At 53.3% G+C, this 15,697-nt stretch overlaps 1 protein-coding gene across 3 annotated transcripts in view, besides 3 other annotated features; it reads right to left on the bottom strand.

The window, feature by feature from the left end:
• The window catches only part of CLIP2 (CAP-Gly domain containing linker protein 2), a 116,529-nt gene that overhangs the window by 27,921 nt on the left and 72,911 nt on the right, over positions 1-15,697 (bottom strand). For 2 of the 3 annotated variants that reach the window (NM_003388.5, XM_047420800.1), the window contains exons 8-10: positions 13,700-13,760; positions 4,979-5,083; positions 1,193-2,128 (exon numbers count right to left, since the gene is read on the bottom strand). In NM_003388.5, coding sequence (NP_003379.4) covers positions 1,193-2,128; positions 4,979-5,083; positions 13,700-13,760 — 1,102 coding nt within the window. The remainder of the gene's footprint in view (positions 1-1,192; positions 2,129-4,978; positions 5,084-13,699; positions 13,761-15,697) is intronic. The other variant, NM_032421.3, reaches the window with a different exon arrangement.
• Positions 4,864-5,862: an enhancer, noted in NCBI's record as "H3K27ac-H3K4me1 hESC enhancer chr7:73786483-73787481 (GRCh37/hg19 assembly coordinates)". NCBI's record gives its function as "activates a minimal SCP1, AML or CMV promoter by ChIP-STARR-seq in naive H9 embryonic stem cells {active_cell/tissue: H9 hESC(naive)}" and the evidence as "EXISTENCE:reporter gene assay evidence [ECO:0000049][PMID:30033119]".
• Positions 12,311-13,180: an enhancer, noted in NCBI's record as "H3K4me1 hESC enhancer chr7:73779165-73780034 (GRCh37/hg19 assembly coordinates)". NCBI's record gives its function as "activates a minimal SCP1, AML or CMV promoter by ChIP-STARR-seq in naive H9 embryonic stem cells {active_cell/tissue: H9 hESC(naive)}" and the evidence as "EXISTENCE:reporter gene assay evidence [ECO:0000049][PMID:30033119]".
• Positions 13,181-14,052: an enhancer, noted in NCBI's record as "H3K4me1 hESC enhancer chr7:73778293-73779164 (GRCh37/hg19 assembly coordinates)". NCBI's record gives its function as "activates a minimal SCP1, AML or CMV promoter by ChIP-STARR-seq in primed H9 embryonic stem cells {active_cell/tissue: H9 hESC(primed)}" and the evidence as "EXISTENCE:reporter gene assay evidence [ECO:0000049][PMID:30033119]".

Genomic DNA, 15,697 nt, shown 5'->3' with positions numbered 1-15,697 from the left:
ACCTCTACTAAAAATATAAGAATTAGCTGGGCGTGGTGGTGCATGCCTGTAATTGCAGCTACTTGGGAGGCTGATACAGGAGAATTGCTTGAACCTGGGAGGCGGAGGTTGCAGTGAGCCGAGATCCCACCACTGCACTCCAGCCTGGGCAACAAGAGCAAAACTCCATCTCAAAAAAAAAAAAAATGTATGTGGGGGAACTGGAAACTCAAGAATCTCTGAGTACAATTTGTATACAGGCAAGAGTCCGTTGCTAGCCATCCCTCCTATGAATTAATTCCTGTTGTCTTGGGCACTCTCTGTCAGCCCCACAGGGAATGGGGTTGAACATCTCTGCCACTGAGAGGCTGTGGACCTGGGAAAGTCTTGGTTTGCTCACCTGTGAAATGGAGCCAGTATCAATCTAAGGATGTTAAGGTGAAATGGAGTCACATAGGGCCTGGCATAAGACGTGGTACCCAGAGCCACTCAAAAGGCCCTTCCTGGCCCTGGTGGAGTGGGCACAGCCCACCTGGGTGTTGACCTCCTCAGAGGGGCTGGGAGGATGGGTTCAGCTGAAGGAAGAAGGGGTAGATGCTTAAGGAATTTCTAGATTTGGAGCAAAATTGACATTGGTGACAGCGACCTCTTTAGGGCCACCCCCTCTAGCCTTCCAGACCCCACTCCGGGAACTCCCACATTCTGGGGAAGTACTCGTTGGCACCGTTGCTAAAGTCTCATTAGGACTGGCAGAAAGGGGGCTGCCGCTGATTCCCCAGGTGAGCTTCTAAGTTGGAGATGGGTGCCCCCAGGGGGATAGGCAGAGCTTGCCTTCAGGTCTGTGCCAGCCCCAGGGCACAGGGTCTGAGGTCCCGGGTCCTAGGAGCCCTGCACCCTAAGACATGTATGGGTAAATCAAAGCCCGTCCTCTGCACGGAGGTCCCATCTCTCCAGGTCTGCTCTGTGCGGGGGGATGCAGCCAGGTCAGCTCAGACCAGCTTCGGTTCTCCCTGGTCACCAGGGCGCACTGCCCCTCTAACAGAGGGCCAAGGAGCTCCTCCTCCTCTAAGCCAGGTGACCCCTTCCTTGACTGCCCCAGGCATGCTCTCGGGGACAAGGGAAATGCTTCCTGGGCTGCAGAACAGAGGTCAGCAAAAGGCCAAGCCCTCCCCAGCCCGACCCTCCCGCCCCAGCAGGAGGGGCAGGCGCCTACGTGGGTGTGCTGGGAGGAGCACAGGGCCTCGACCGCCTGGAGTCTGTTCTCAGCCACCAGGAGCTTCTCCCGCAAACTCTCGACCTCCTGTTTGCCCTGGGCTTCTGCCCGCTGCAGCCGCTCGTAGTCCAACATCTTCTTCTCGGCCAGCGAGATCTGCTCCTTGAGGAACTCGATAGCCTGCGCCTGGCCCCGGTACTCCACGTCCAGTTTTTCCAGCTCGTGCACACGCAGCTCGGCATCCCGGCGCTGGTCCTGGGCCTCCTGCAGCTCCAGCCGGTGCTGGCTGGCTTGCACCTCCAGCTGGGCCCGCCAGTGCCGCTGCAGCCCAGCCAGCTCCTCCTGGGCCTCCTGCAGCTTCTCTCGCAGGGCCTCCTTCTCCTTCACGTGCATGGCGGTCTCCAGGTCATGCTTGGCCTGCAAGTTACCCAGCTCCAGCTGGTGCTCCATCTTGATGCCCTCCATCACTGCCTTCAGCTCGCCGATCTCCTTCTGCTGGGCGCCTGGGCCCGAGTTCAGGGTGGCTTTGAGGTCCTCCAGGGACTTCTGGTGGTCCGAGGCCAGCGAGTCCAGCTTGGATTTCCAGTTGTCCATTAGCCCCATGTTCTCGCTGGTGGCCTGCTGAACCTTGTCCTTCAGGCCCGCCACCTCCTGTGCGTACTTCTCGTTGGCCGCGCGGAGCTTGTCCACCTCCGCCTGGTAGGCCTTCAGGGCCTTCTCGTATTTATCCCGCAGCACCCCACTCTCCCTCTGGTGTTCCTTGCTGGCCGAGAGCAGCCGCTCCCGTAGCCGCAGGATCTCGGCGGCGTCTGGGTGGTCCGGAGGTGGGGGACCCGAGTGCAACAGGCACTGCTGGAGCTCCTCGATTTCACCTCGGCGCAGGGTGAGCTCCTCCTCCAGCTGCAGCACGCGCGACTTCTCGGCCACTGTGGTCAGCTGTGGGGAGAGAGGGAGACAGGGATCAGCGGGCTGGCTGGCTGGCTGGAAGGTAAGGAGGGCACAATGGTGGGGGCCGGGTAGGGGGCGTCCATTCGAGGGCACCAGCCCCAGCAGGTGGAGGTCATGGGAAGGGAAAGGCGCTCACTCCCTCCTGAGTGCTGGCTGGATGTAGAGGCCTGGCCCATCACAGTATCCAGAAAGACTTCCCTGGCTGTACCCCAAAGATTCAGAGCCAACTGTCGCCACTCCTCTACCTAGGTGGCTTGGACAAATTGGTGGTTAAAAGAAACCACCTATTTGAGGTTACAGCTTTTTTTTTTTTTTTTTTTTTTTTTTTGAGTCTCGCTCTGTCACGCAGGCTGGAATGCAGTGGCGTGATCTCACCTCACTGCAACCTCTACTTCCCAGGTTCAAGCGATTCTCCTGCCTCAGCCTCCCGAGTAGCTGGGACTACAGGCATGCACCACCATGCGCCTGGGGAATTTTTGTGTTTTTTTAGTAAAGATGGGGTGTCACTCTTTTGCCTAGGCTGGTCTCGAACTCCTAGCCTCAAGTGATCCACCCGCCCTGGCGTCCCAAAGTGTTGGGATTATAGGCATGAGCCACCGCCCAGCATTTTTTTTTTTTTTAAAAGAGACGGGGGTCTAGCTATGTTGCCCAGGCTGGAGTGCAGCCGTGCAATAATAGCTCACTGTACCCTCAAATTCCTGGGCTCAAGCAATCTTCCTGCCTCAGCCTCAAAAGCAGCTGGGACTCTATGGGCATGAGCCACCATGCCCAACTGAGTTAAAGTTCTTTGTATTTTTATTAAGAAATTTTTTTTTTGTTAACATTCTTTTTAAAGAACAGAGGCCACAGTGAATTTTGCATTATCCTGCCTTAGGAAGGATATCCAGCCCAAGGGGCTGGCTGGAGGCAGTGGCCAAGAAGGGTCCAGTTTAATGCTTAAAGCAGAAGAGGGTGCTCCCAGACCCATCTTTCAACAAAAAACTCTTAGAGGCTCCATTCTCCAAAAAACCACCTTGATCACGTTGATGGTCATAGATATGAAAATGATATATTTTCAAGCTTTAAATCTATTACAAGCTTTAAACATTTTGTTTCTGAAGGTATCCTTTAGTTCAATAAACTTATTGTTTTGTTTTTTGGTTTTTGTTTTTTTCGAGATGGAGTCTCACTCTCTTGCCCAGGCTGGAGTGTAGTGGCACCATCTCGGCTCACTGCAACCTCCACCTCCCCGGTTCAAATGATTCTCCTGTCTCAGCCTCCCAAGTAGCTGGGACTACAGGCGTGCACCACCCCGCTCAGTTAATTTTTGTATTTTTAATAGAGACAGGGTTTCACCATGTTGGCCAGTCTGGTCTTGAACTCCTGACCTCAGATGACCTCAGATGATTCACCAACCTTGGCCTCCCAAAGTGCTGGGATTACAGGTGTGAGCCACCACACCCAGCCCTGTTTTTGTGTTTTCATCAGGTTGAACCCTAGATCAAGATGCATTTGGAGGGCTCCGGCCGGTCCGCCGTGACTGGGTCAGTTTGTGCGTTCAGTCTTCATGCACATGAGTGTGTACCGTACAAGCACATGGTCACTGAGCAATGGCCAGTGTGTGCAAATGGACCCTGTGTGTCTCTGGACACCTGCACACATGCACACAGCCACTTGTGCACGGAGACCAACATGCAGAAACTGACCACTGCTCCTTCTACATCTACATACTGTTTATGGGGTGCTTTTCCAGTCATCACTTGCTGCCTGTTTTTGCTTGCTCTCAGAGGGACTGCTGGGGGGCCGGCTGGCTGTTCGCATGTGAGTGCCTGCACAGAGTGCTGGGTCCCAGGCGTGCATGGTAAGCCTGGAGGGGACTGTGGGGCCTGGAGCAGGGACTCAGAACCATGCCCTAGGAGTCTGGAAGCCTCACCCACAAGCAGAGCTGTTCCATGGCTCCAGGACCCATTATAACACCATTCCCTGGGGACACCTCCACTCCCTCAAAAGCCCCACCCCTTCCTCAGCCCCAGGTCCTTCAGCCCAGCCCCCTCCTGCACCCATGTTTCAGGCTCTCTGGGCCAGAGAAACCGGGAAGAGATCTGCAGTTCCTGACCTCCTTCCTCTCCCCAGCCTCCTCAGCTGGGGAGACAGGAGACATGGATCAGTGGTTTCTAGGTCTGCCTACATAGAGACAGGACATTCCCAGGAACTCCAACACTTTGTCATGGCAATGCATCGGGGAGACTGGGGGGTCTCACAGGACGTTCTCAGCTGCTGGGGCAATAAGCTGGGGAGCCAAGTCCCAAAAAACAAAGACCACCCCCACCCCCAACTCCACCCCAATAAGCAACACTGAGCCAGGGAACATAAGCACATTTCTTTTTGTTTTGTTTTTGAGGCGGAGTCTCACTCTGTCACCCAGGCTGGAGTGCAGTGGCACGATCTCAGCTCACTGCAACCTCCACCTCCCAGGTTCAAGCGATTCTCCTGCCTCAGCCTCCCAAGTAGCTGGGATCACAGGCATGAGCCACCACGCCCAGCTAATTTTTATATTTTTAGTAGAGATGGGGTTTCACCATGTTGGCCAGGCTGGTCTCGAACTCCTGACCTCAGGCGATCCACCCTCCTTAGCCTCCCAAAGTGCTGGGATTACAGGCGTGAGCCACCGCACCCGGCCACATAAGCACATTTCTAAATCTTGACTTCCCTCCTCCAAGGGGATGCAAAAATAAAAAATAAAAATAAAAAAGATGATAGCAGCTAAAGAAAGAGAGTCAATAATGAAACAGAGAAGCCAGAGGGGGCATCAAAGGGCAAGGTGGCTGGCGGGCCAGGCGGGTGCGGTGGCGCGGTTACCCTGTTGTCCGCTAATTCTCGGAGCAGCCGCTCGGCCTGCGCCTTCTCCAGTAGCAGGCTCTGTTCCAGCTCCCCAATGCGCGCGTGCTCCAGCTGCGTCTGGGTCTGGTCCACCCAGGGTGGACACGGTGGGGGGGTGGGGGCGGGGACGCAGGGAGGGGGGCACAGGGAAGAAGAAGCCGGAGAGAGAGAGAAAGAGAGAGAGAGAGAGAGGAGGCGTCATCTTCCGTGAACAAGGCGAGGAGAGTAGATTCATGAGCCAGAATTGCTCAGCGAAAGAGAGGAAGTCTGGGGAGGCGAGGGGTGTGGGGCCTCATGCCCACCCCTTGCTGTGTCCCGGCTGGGTCAGTGTAGGGCGGTGGGGGGTGGGGGCCTGCAAGCCATCCTCCCTCGCTGGCCCCTGCTTGGGGTAGCAATGGGCACCTCGCTTTTCTGTCCCCCCCAACCCCCAACCAGCAGCCCTTGACCTTGAAGGTCCTCATCAAGGATCTGCTCCTGGGGAGGGGCCCATCCTGTTCCCGTTCCCCTGCAGGCTGTCACTGGTTGTAGGCAAAGCATCCTCCACACAGGAGACCCACAGGATGAGGAATAAATAAAGGACCCCGGGATTCCCGCTCGACTCCCCCCCCCCCCCAAGGCCTGTGCTAAAAGTGCAAGAACCCATAACACGCAAGATGTTTCCAAAATATACCCGACCCCTCACGATCCTCTTGGCCCCAGCCTCCTTGGTGGAGGCCGGGCTGTGCCTCCCACTCCCGGGCCCCATTGCTGCCCACCCCACCGGACCCCACAGAGGACGCCTGGTCTCCACAAATCACAAGGGCACTTTTGTCCCAGCTCGACAATATCTGCTTCATCTGCTGACAAAGGCCAGCATTCTCAGGGTGTCAAGACTGGCTTTTGCATTTCACAGAACAGATCTTGGAAGGGAAGCTGGGAGGGTGAGGACATTGGGAGCAGTTTGGAGACCCAAGTTCATCTTAGGGAGAAGCCAGAGGGTCCTCTTTATACTCCAGGAGAGAAGGGGTTAAAGCAGCTGCAGGGCAGTTCTGAAGGGGCGGGGCTTAGCAAAACAGCCTCTAGGTGTGAAACCTGTAATAAAACCCCGGAAGCTTGTCTATTGGTGAAGGTGTAAACGGACATCACCTGATTAGAAATACTCCTGCAATTCATTAAGAGACATTGAGATGATTATGTCCTTTGGCCTATTTTATTTCTTGAATTTTCCTTAAGGAACAACAAAAAAAGTTCTCTCTCTCCCCTCCTCTCTCCTTCTCCTCCCTCTCCCTCTTTGTCCTTCCCTTTCTCTCTCCCCTCTCCTTCCCACTTTCTCTCTCTTCTTTCTCCCCCCCGTCTCTCTCCCTCCTTTCTTTTTCCCTCTCTCCCTCCCTCTCTCTCTCCATTCCCCTCCCTGTTTCCCTCCCTCCCTCCTTCTCTCCTTCTCTTTTCCCCTCTCTCCCTTCCTGTCTCCCCTCTTTGTGTCCCTCCCTCTCTCTTTCTCTCCTCTCCCTCCCTCCCCCGCCTCCCTCCTGGCAGTGTGTTCCAGTGCCAACAAGAAGTCAGCATGTCTCTTCCAGAAAATCACAAGCTCCATCCCAGCCACCCCTATCCCCGTCGGTGGGCACAACAGCCCTGTCTGGAACCCTCATAGATGGTGCATGATCCTACACACTGAACTGGTAGCCCGCACAGGCAAGAAAAAGCCTCCAGCTTCGCAATTTCAAGGGCAACTTCATTCGGTCCCACTCCAAAGGACTCCTCCCCTCAACCTTTTTTTTTTTTTTTTTTTTTTTGAGGCATAGTTTCCCTCTTTCACCCAGGCTGGAGCGCAGTGGCGCGATCTCGGCTCACTGCAACCTCCACCTCCCAGGTTCAAGCAATTCTCCAGCCTCAGCCTCCCGAGTAACTGGGATTACAGGTGCCTACCATCATGCCCAGCTAACTTTTGTATTTTTGAGTAGAGACGGGGTTTCACCATGTTTGCTGGTCTTGAACCTCTGACCTCAGGTGATCTGCCCACCTCAGCCTCCCAAAGTGCTGGGATTACATGTGTGAGCCACCACGCCTGGCCCCTCAACGGGTTTATATTCTGGGGGGTGGGGAGGCAGATGCAAACCATAAAAGAATAGTGAAGATCATTCCAGACTGTGATTTGCACTATGAACAGAGCACTGGGGAGAGAGTAACTGGAATGAACGTGAAATAGAGGAAACATGTAATTTACAGTGAGTTCTGAAGGATAAGAAGGACTCCTTGTACAAGGCAGGCACAAGAGGAAGAGGCGCAAGTGTTTCAGGCCGGGGAACTAGCGTGTACAAAAGCTCAGAGGCAGGACACAGCTTGTGGTGTTCCAGAAAGAGAAAAGCCTGGTGTATGATAACTTAGGGGCAGGGGTGTGAGACAGGGCTGGGACAAGGCAGGGGGGTGGTGGTGGGGGGGAGGGTTGGGCCCTGGGGGTCTTCTCTGGCCCACTCTACAGAGCCTAGATGATATCTAGTGTCTCAGTGCTAGATGTGTGAGCAGGAAAGGGGCAGGATCTGATTTACATTTTTATTTTTAAATTAGTTTTTTTTTTTTTTTTGAGACGGAGTCTCGCTCTGTTGCCCAGGCTGGAGTGCAGTGGCGCGATCTTGGCTCACTGCAACCTCTGCTTCCTTGGTTCACACCATTCTCCTGCCTCAGCCTCCCGAGTAGCTGGGACTGCAGGCGCCCGCCACCACGCCCGGCTAATTTTTTGTATTTTTAGTAGAGACAGGGTTTCACCATGGTAGCCAGGATGGTTTCGATCCCCTGACCTCGTGATCCGCCCACCTCGGCCTCCCAAAGTGCTGGGATTACAGGCATGAGCCACCGTGCCTGGATTTTTTTTTTTTTTTTTTTTGAGGCAGAGTCTCGCTCTGTTACTCAGGCTGGAGTGCAGTGGAGGGAGCCTGGCTCAGCAACCTCTGCCTCCTGGGTTCAAGCGATTCTCCTGCCTCAGCCTTCCGAGTAGCTGGAATTACAGGCAAGCACCACTATGCCCAGCTAATTTTTGTATTTTTAGTAGAGATGGGGTTTCGCCATGTTAGCCAGGCTGGTTTGGAGCTCCTGACCTCGTGATCCGCCCACCTTGGCCTCCCAAAGTGCTGGGATTACAGGCATGAGCCACCGTGCCTGGATTTTTTTTTTTTTTTTTTTTTTTTGAGGCAGAGTCTCGCTCTGTTACTCAGGCTGGAGTGCAGTGGAGGGAGCCTGGCTCAGCAACCTCTGCCTCCTGGGTTCAAGCGATTCTCCTGCCTCAGCCTTCCGAGTAGCTGGAATTACAGGCAAGCACCACTATGCCCAGCTAATTTTTGTATTTTTAGTAGAGATGGGGTTTCACCATGTTAGCCAGGCTGGTTTGGAGCTCCTGACCTCGAATGATCCGCTGGCCTTGGCTTCCCAAAGTGCTGGGATTACAGGTGTGAGCCACCGCACCCAGCCATATTTTAAAAATTTTTATTTATTTATTTTTAGAGATGGGGTCTTGCTCTGTCACCCAGGCTGGAGTGCAGTGGCGCCATCATAGCTCACTGTAGCCTCAACCTCCTGGACTCAAAGGATCCTCCTGCCTCAGCCCCCCAAGTAGCTGGGACTACAGGCGTGCTACCATGCCTGGTGGATTTTTTATTTTATTTATTTTGTTTCTTTGTTTCTACTTTATTTTTGAGACAGAGTCTCACTCTGTTGCCCAGGCTGGAGTGCAGTGGTGTGATCTTGTTTCACTGCAACCTCCGCCTCCCTGGCTCAAGCGCTTCTCCTGCCTCAGCCTCCTGAGTAGCTGGGATTACTGGTGCCCACCACCATGCCCAGCTAATTTTTGTATTTTTAGTAGAGACAGGGTTTCACCATGTTGGCCAGGCTGGTCTGAATCTCCTGACCTCAAGTGATCCACCTGCCTTGGCCTCCCAAAGTGCTGGGATTATAGGCGTGAGCCACCACATCCAGCCAGAATACTTTAATTTTTGTAGAGATGGGGTCTCACTATGCTGCCCAGACTGGTCTCTAACTCCTGGCCTCAAGTGACCACCCTCCCACCTCTCCCTCCCAAGTATTGGGATTGCAGGTGTGAGCCACTGCACCCGGCCTGATTTACATTTTAAAAATATTTGGCCATATGACGTCTGGGATGTGGGAGGGGGCCCTGGGTCAGGGCATGGCTGAAATAAGACTGGCGGTGAGTTGATGACTGTTGAAGCTGAGTGATGGGTAAATGAAAGTTCATTATACTGTCTTCTCTATTTTTGTATAGGCTTAAAAATTTCCAACATTAAAAATGAAAACGATATTTTTAAAAAAGACTAGATTCAGTGTGGAGAATGGACTTTGGAGGAACAGAAGACGAAGGAGAGGGCTATCCATGGCATGGTGCTAGGGCCTGGTCCAGGGAAGCAGCTGTGCGGATGTGCATGATTTTGGAGGTAAGGTCAAAAGGACTTTTTTTGTTTTTTATTTTTTATTTATTTTATTTATTTTTATTTATTTATTTATTTATTTATTTTGAGATGGAGTCTCGCACTGTCGCCTAGGCTGGAGTGCAATGACGCGATCTCGGCTCACTGCAACCTCCGCCTCCCAGGTTCAAGCGATTCTCCTACCTCAGCCTCCTGTATAGCTGGGATTACAGGCGCCCACCACCAGGCCCGGCTAAGTTTTTGTATTTTTACTAGAGACGGGGTTTCACTATGTTGGTCAGGCTGGTCTCAAAGTCCTGACCTCATGATCCGCCCACCTCGGCCTCCCAAAGTGCTGGGATTACAGGCGTGAGCCACCGCGCCCGGCCTTTATTTTTTATTTTTTGAGACAAGGTCTTGCTCTTGCTTTGTTGCCCAGGCTGGAGTACAGTGGTGTGATCACAGCTCACTGCAGCCTCAACTGCCCGGACTCAAGCGATCCTCCCACCTCAACCTCCCGCGTAGCTGGGACCATAGGCATGCATTACCATACCTGGATAATTTTTCCATTTTGGGTAGAGACAAGGTCTCCCTATGTTGCCCAAGCTGGTCTCGAACTTCTGGGCTTAATCAATCCTCCCGCCTTGGCTTCCCAAAGTGCTTGGATTACAAGCATGTGCCACCATGCCCGCATTTTTAAAAAATATTTTTGTAGAAACACGGTCTTGCTATGTTGCCCAGGCTGGTCTCAAACTCCTGGGCTCAAGCAACCTTCCTGTCTCAGGCTCCCAAAGCACTGGGATTACAGGTGTGAGCCACCATGCCCAGCCAACTGTGTGGATTTGGGGGCCAATATCTGAGATGGGAACCGTAAGGGGGGTGGTGTTAGGGGAGGCCTGGATAGATGTGGTTAGGACATGTTCAATTTGGGCTGTGGTCCTGGGTTGAATAGTGACTTCTTAAATTTCATGCCCACTCAGAACCTCAGAATGTGACCTTAGCCAGGCATGGTGGCTCCCACCTATAATCCCAGAACTTTGAGAGGCTAGGGTGGGAGGATCGCTTGAGCTCAGAAGTTTGAGACCAGCCTGGGCAATATAGTGAGAACCCATCTGTATAAAAATTAAACAAAATAGGCCAGGCATGGTGGCTCACGCCTGTTATCCCAGCAGTCTGGGAGTCTGAGGCGGGCGAATCATGAGGTCAGGAGATTGAGACCATCCTGGCTAACACGGTGAAACCTCGTCTCTACTAAAAATACAAAAAATTAGCCGGGCATGGTGGTGGATGCCTGTAGTCCCAGCAACTTGGGAGGCTGAGGCAGGAGAATGGCATGAACCCGGGAAGGGGAGCTTGCAGTGAGCAGAGATTGCGCCACTGCACTCCAGCCTGGGTGACAGAGCGAGACTCCATCTCAAAAAAAAAAAAATTTTTTTTAAACAAAATAAAGAACAAATGTGACCTTCTTTGGAATAGGGTCTTGCACATGTAGTTAGTTAAAATGAGGTCATACTGGATTAGGACTGGATTAGAGTGGGCCCTAAATCCAGTGACTGCTGTCTTCATAAGATGTTCAAGTAAAGTGCCACACAGGCAAGGCAGCAAAGTGACAGGAGGCAGGGACTGGCCTGATGCAGTTATACAGGCCAAGGAGCATCAGGGGCTGCCGGCAATCCTCCTGGAAGCTAGATTGGAATAGATTCTCCAACACCTTGATTTCAGGCCTTTTTTTTTTTTTTTTTTTTTTTTGAGAAGGAGTCTCACTCTGCTGCCCAGGCTGAAGCGCAGTGGCGCAATCGCGGCTCACTGTAACTGCCGCCTCCCAATTTCAAGTGATTCTCCTGCCTCAGCCTCCGGAGTAGCTGGGATTAGAGGCGCCCGTCACCATGCCCAGCTAATTTTGTATTTTCAGTAGAGACGGTGTTTCACCACGTTGGCCAGGCTGGTCTCAAACTCCTGACCTCAAGTGATCCGCCGCTTTGGCCTCCCAAAGTGTTGGGATTACAGGCGTGAGCCACCACGCCCAGCCTTTATTTTAGACTTCTGGCTTCCAGAACTGCGAAAGCATATGTTTGTGCTGTTTTAAGCCACACATTTGTGGCTGTGCATTATTGCAGCCCCAGGAAATTGATACAGGTGCTTGCTTCTTCCTCAATTGGGTGGAGATGTCAAATGGGCATGGTACAGGGAGCTTGGGGAAGACTGTGGATCTTACAGGGGCTCATTCCAGGGCATGGAGGCCACAGACTGGAAGCTCTCAGGGTGAGTGTGGACAAGGGGTGAACGGACCTGGGACTGAGCCCTTGGATGGGACAATGTTCAGAGATTAGGAAGGAGGAGACGCCAGCAGAGGAGGCTGGGGAGTTGGAATGGGGGCATCTCATTGTGTAGTTGGGGCAGTGTGGACAGGAGGGAAGACCATGAGCCTGATAACCTTCTGGGGGTTTTGCAATAAAGACAGGCAGAGAGGTGGGGTGATAAAGCGGAGGGGGCCAGGAGGTCAAGGAGGGGCTCTGGCTTTTATTTCTGACTTTTAAGATGGGTGGGGGCCAGATGTGATGGCTCATGCATGTAATCCCAGCCCTTTGGGAGGCTGAGGCAGGATTGCTTGAACCTAGGAGTTTGAGACCCACTTGGGCAACATAGCGAGACCCTGCCTGGGCAACATAGTGAGACCCAGCCTCTACAAAAAAAAATACAAAAATTAGCTGGGTGTGGTGGCACACGCCTGTAGTCCTAGCTACTTGGGAGGCTGAGGCAAAGCATCACTTGAGCCCAGGAAGTGGAGGCTTCAGTGAGCCCAGATGGTGCCACTGTACTCCAGCCTGGGCAACAGAGTGAGATCCTGTCTCCAAAAAAGAAAAAAAAGGGTGGGGATGAGGGGATGAGTGGGACTTTGGTCATTTTGCCTTCTGGTTGCCATGAATATGATCACAATTCAGTTTGCTACAATAAAACGTTGCATGGGGAATTCTGCAGCCCTTTGGACTGACTTAGCTGTCACTGTCTGTCCCGCCCCCTGCCTCTCCCAGCCAGGGCCGGCTGGATCCGGGGTGGACCCCTATCCAGAGCCAGCCAGCCCATTGGCTATCCCTGGGACCAATCAGAGCCTCTCTCAATGACAGCTGGTAGGTAGTGGGCGGGGCTGGGAGAAGAGCAGAGCCGAGAAACACAGTGGGAAACAGACAGGAGGAGCCTGACCTCAGACACAGATCGGAAGGAGACCCTGAGTAAGGGGCACATGGATGGGCTTAGCTCCCGATGCTGTTTCTGGCTCCAGTCCCCTGAAATGCCTGCCCTTGGAGGCTGTGACCTTTCCTACAGCCCTTCAGTAAGCCCCCATGGTGACTGCAGCTGGCACAGGGGGGTCTCTGTTCCTGGCAAATACAGGTGCTTTTCCCAGAAGTCCATCCAACCCCTGCAGGAGAGCAACTGCCAATGGAAAAGTCAGCCAGGAGCAACCACATGGCCTGCCCCTTGGCCAAGAGGGAAACTTAATTAGAACATGCTGAGCTGGGCTGAGGCTCTGACGCTGGGTTGTGCCCCAACATCCATTCTTTTTTTTGAGACAGTCACACACACACACACACACACACACACACACACACACACACACACACACACACACACAACAAAAAACAGGCGCAATCATAGCTCACTGCAGCCTCCATCTCCCAGATTCAAGCGATCCTCTAGCCTCAGCCTCCCTGAGTAGCTGGGACCACAGGTGCACATGACCATGCTTGGCTAACTTTTTAAATTTTTTGTAGAGATGGGATCTTGCTACGTTGCCCAGGCTGGTCTTGAACTTCTGGGCTCAAGTGATCCTCTGCCTTGGCTTCCTGAAGTGCTGGGATTATAGGTGTGAGCCACCATACCCAGCTCCCTTGGTCTCTGAGCCTCAGTTTTCCTACCTATAAATTCTGTGACTCAGCAAGCTACTTTCAGCCAAAATTTTACCTGGAATCCAAGATGAACGAAGGGGCACCTTTAGGGCTATTGCCTAAGAAGAAGGGACAGGGGACCTCAGCCACTCTATCCTGGGGCCCAGCCCCCCATCTGCCCTGCCCTGGGTTCGTCCTGCCCACCCCATCCAGCTGCTGACACGGGGAGCACAGCTTCCCTGGGGGGCTCCTGGGGCTGAGCCACTAACACCTCAGACATCAGACCTTTGATCCTTCCCCATTTTCCCCCCCAGCCCCTTCCCCGGGGGGGCCTAGAGGTGCTGCTGGACCTCACAACCATCTGCCCTAGCAAGGGCCAGGCACCGGTGCTAAGTGTGCCCAGGGAAGGGGCCTCTGACTGTTACCTCCAGGTCTCCCTTGGTGATGGACTCCTCCTCCACGCGGAACTGCAGATCCTCCACCTTCCTGCAGGGGAGGGAAAGAGGTGGCTGACCTGGCTTTGCCCAGAGCAACGGGATTCACCGAATGAGCAACAGCAGAGAGAGGCAAGGCCATGAGAATGGCCCAGAATCCAGAGGCGAGGCCATCAAAATGTCCCACAGTCCTGGAAAGCTCTAGACCTCCCAACCTGCTGACCTGCACTCTAGGAAGAACCACCAATAACTCCAGAATGGCAGTGTTTAAGGCAACACCCTTCCTCCCCAGGGTGGTGGGAAATAAAATAAAGGGCAGGGTGGCCCGGGGATGTGAGTGACAACACTGTTTTCTTTCCTTCTTTCTTTCCTTCCTTCCTTCCTTCCTCCCTCCCTTTTTTTTTTTTTTTTGAGACAGAGTCTCGCTCTGTTGCCCAGGCTGGAGTGCATTGGTGTGATCTCGGCTCACTGAGGCCTCTGCCTCCACGGTTCAAGCAATTCTCCTGCCTCAGCTTCCTGAGTAGCTGGGATTACAGGCATACATCACTGGGCATGCAACCTCAATAAAAAATTTTTGTAGTTTTAGTAGAGACAGGGTTTTAACATGTTGGCCAGGCTGGTCTCGAACTCCTGGCCTCAAGTGATCTGCCCACCTCAGCCTCCCAAAGTGCTGGGATTACAGGCGTGAGCCTCCGCGCCCAGCTGACAACACTGTTTTCATCACTGCGGGGAACAGACACTACCACAAGGAACAACCTGTGGGGAGGAAGGAAAGGAGAGAAGGAAAGTGGGCTTCCTTTGCTGTTGATCTTGTTCTCATCACAGGCCTCAAAACTGGGGGTCAGAGACCCAATCCCCACTCCCAGGGCTGCCCCTGGATGTGGAATGCCCAGGCATCAGGGCTACCCTCAGGGAGACACACTCTGTCACACACCTGTCAAGACAGCGCAGGGGAGAGACACAGGCCCACCCCACCTTACAGCCACACATAGGAACTCAAGGCTGGGCCAGTTGCAGTGGCTCACGCCCGTAATCCCAACACTTTGGGAGGCCAAGGTGGGCGGATCACCTGAGGTCGGGAGTTTGAGACCAGCCTGACCAACATGGAGAAACTGTCTCTACTAAAAATACAAAATTAGCGGGGCGTGGTGGCGCATCCCTGTAATCTCAGCTACTCAGGAGGCTGAGGCAGGAGAATGGCTTGAACCCAAAAGGCAGAGGTTGCGGTGAGCTGAGATCGTGCCATTGCACTCCAGCCTGGGCAACAAGAGCGAAACTCCATCTTGGGGGAAAAAAAAAAAAGCTCAAAGCTGCTCTTCCTAGGGCCTCCTAACAGCTCTCGGCATAGCAATGAGGAATGAGGCCCAGAGAGGGCAGGCGACCTGCCGAAGGCCACACAGCAAGCACAGGACAATGCAGAGACTTGCACCCAGGCCCCTTCTGAACAAAACTCCATGATGCCTTGTGTTTGTGGCTGAGCACAGTGGCTCCTGCCTATAATCCCAGCACTTTGGGAGGCCGAGGCGGGTGGATCACTTGAGTCCAGGAGTTCAAGACCAACCTGGCCAACATGGTGTAACCCTGTCTCTACTAAAAATATAAAAATTAGCCAGGCATGGTGATGCGCACCTGTAGTCCCAGCTACTTGGGAGGCTGAGGCAGGAGAATTGCTTGAACCTGGAGGTGGAGGTTGCAGTGAGCCGAGATCACACCACTGTACTCCAGCCTGGGTGACAGAGCGAGACTCTGTCTAAAGAAACAAAAAAAAAAAAAAAAAAGAAAAGAAAAAGAAAAAAAGATCTGTGTTTGTTGGCGTCAGGCACATCGCCATGGGAACCAGATGTGTAGGCCACTATGGCTGTCTCAGGCAAATATAAATACACCCTCATCTCCCTGAATCCGACAGTAACAACAGCTTATGGAGCGCAGGTGCCAGCTGAAAGCCCACAGAACAGACCCAAGTGGGGGTGTTGGGGATGGGGGCTGGCT

The sequence above is a fragment of the Homo sapiens genome, chromosome 7, assembly GCF_000001405.40.
Source record: "Homo sapiens chromosome 7, GRCh38.p14 Primary Assembly".
Taxonomy (NCBI): Eukaryota; Metazoa; Chordata; class Mammalia; order Primates; family Hominidae; genus Homo; species Homo sapiens.
Note: the sequence above shows the minus strand (reverse complement) of the source record. Positions and strands in the feature narration are given on the sequence as shown.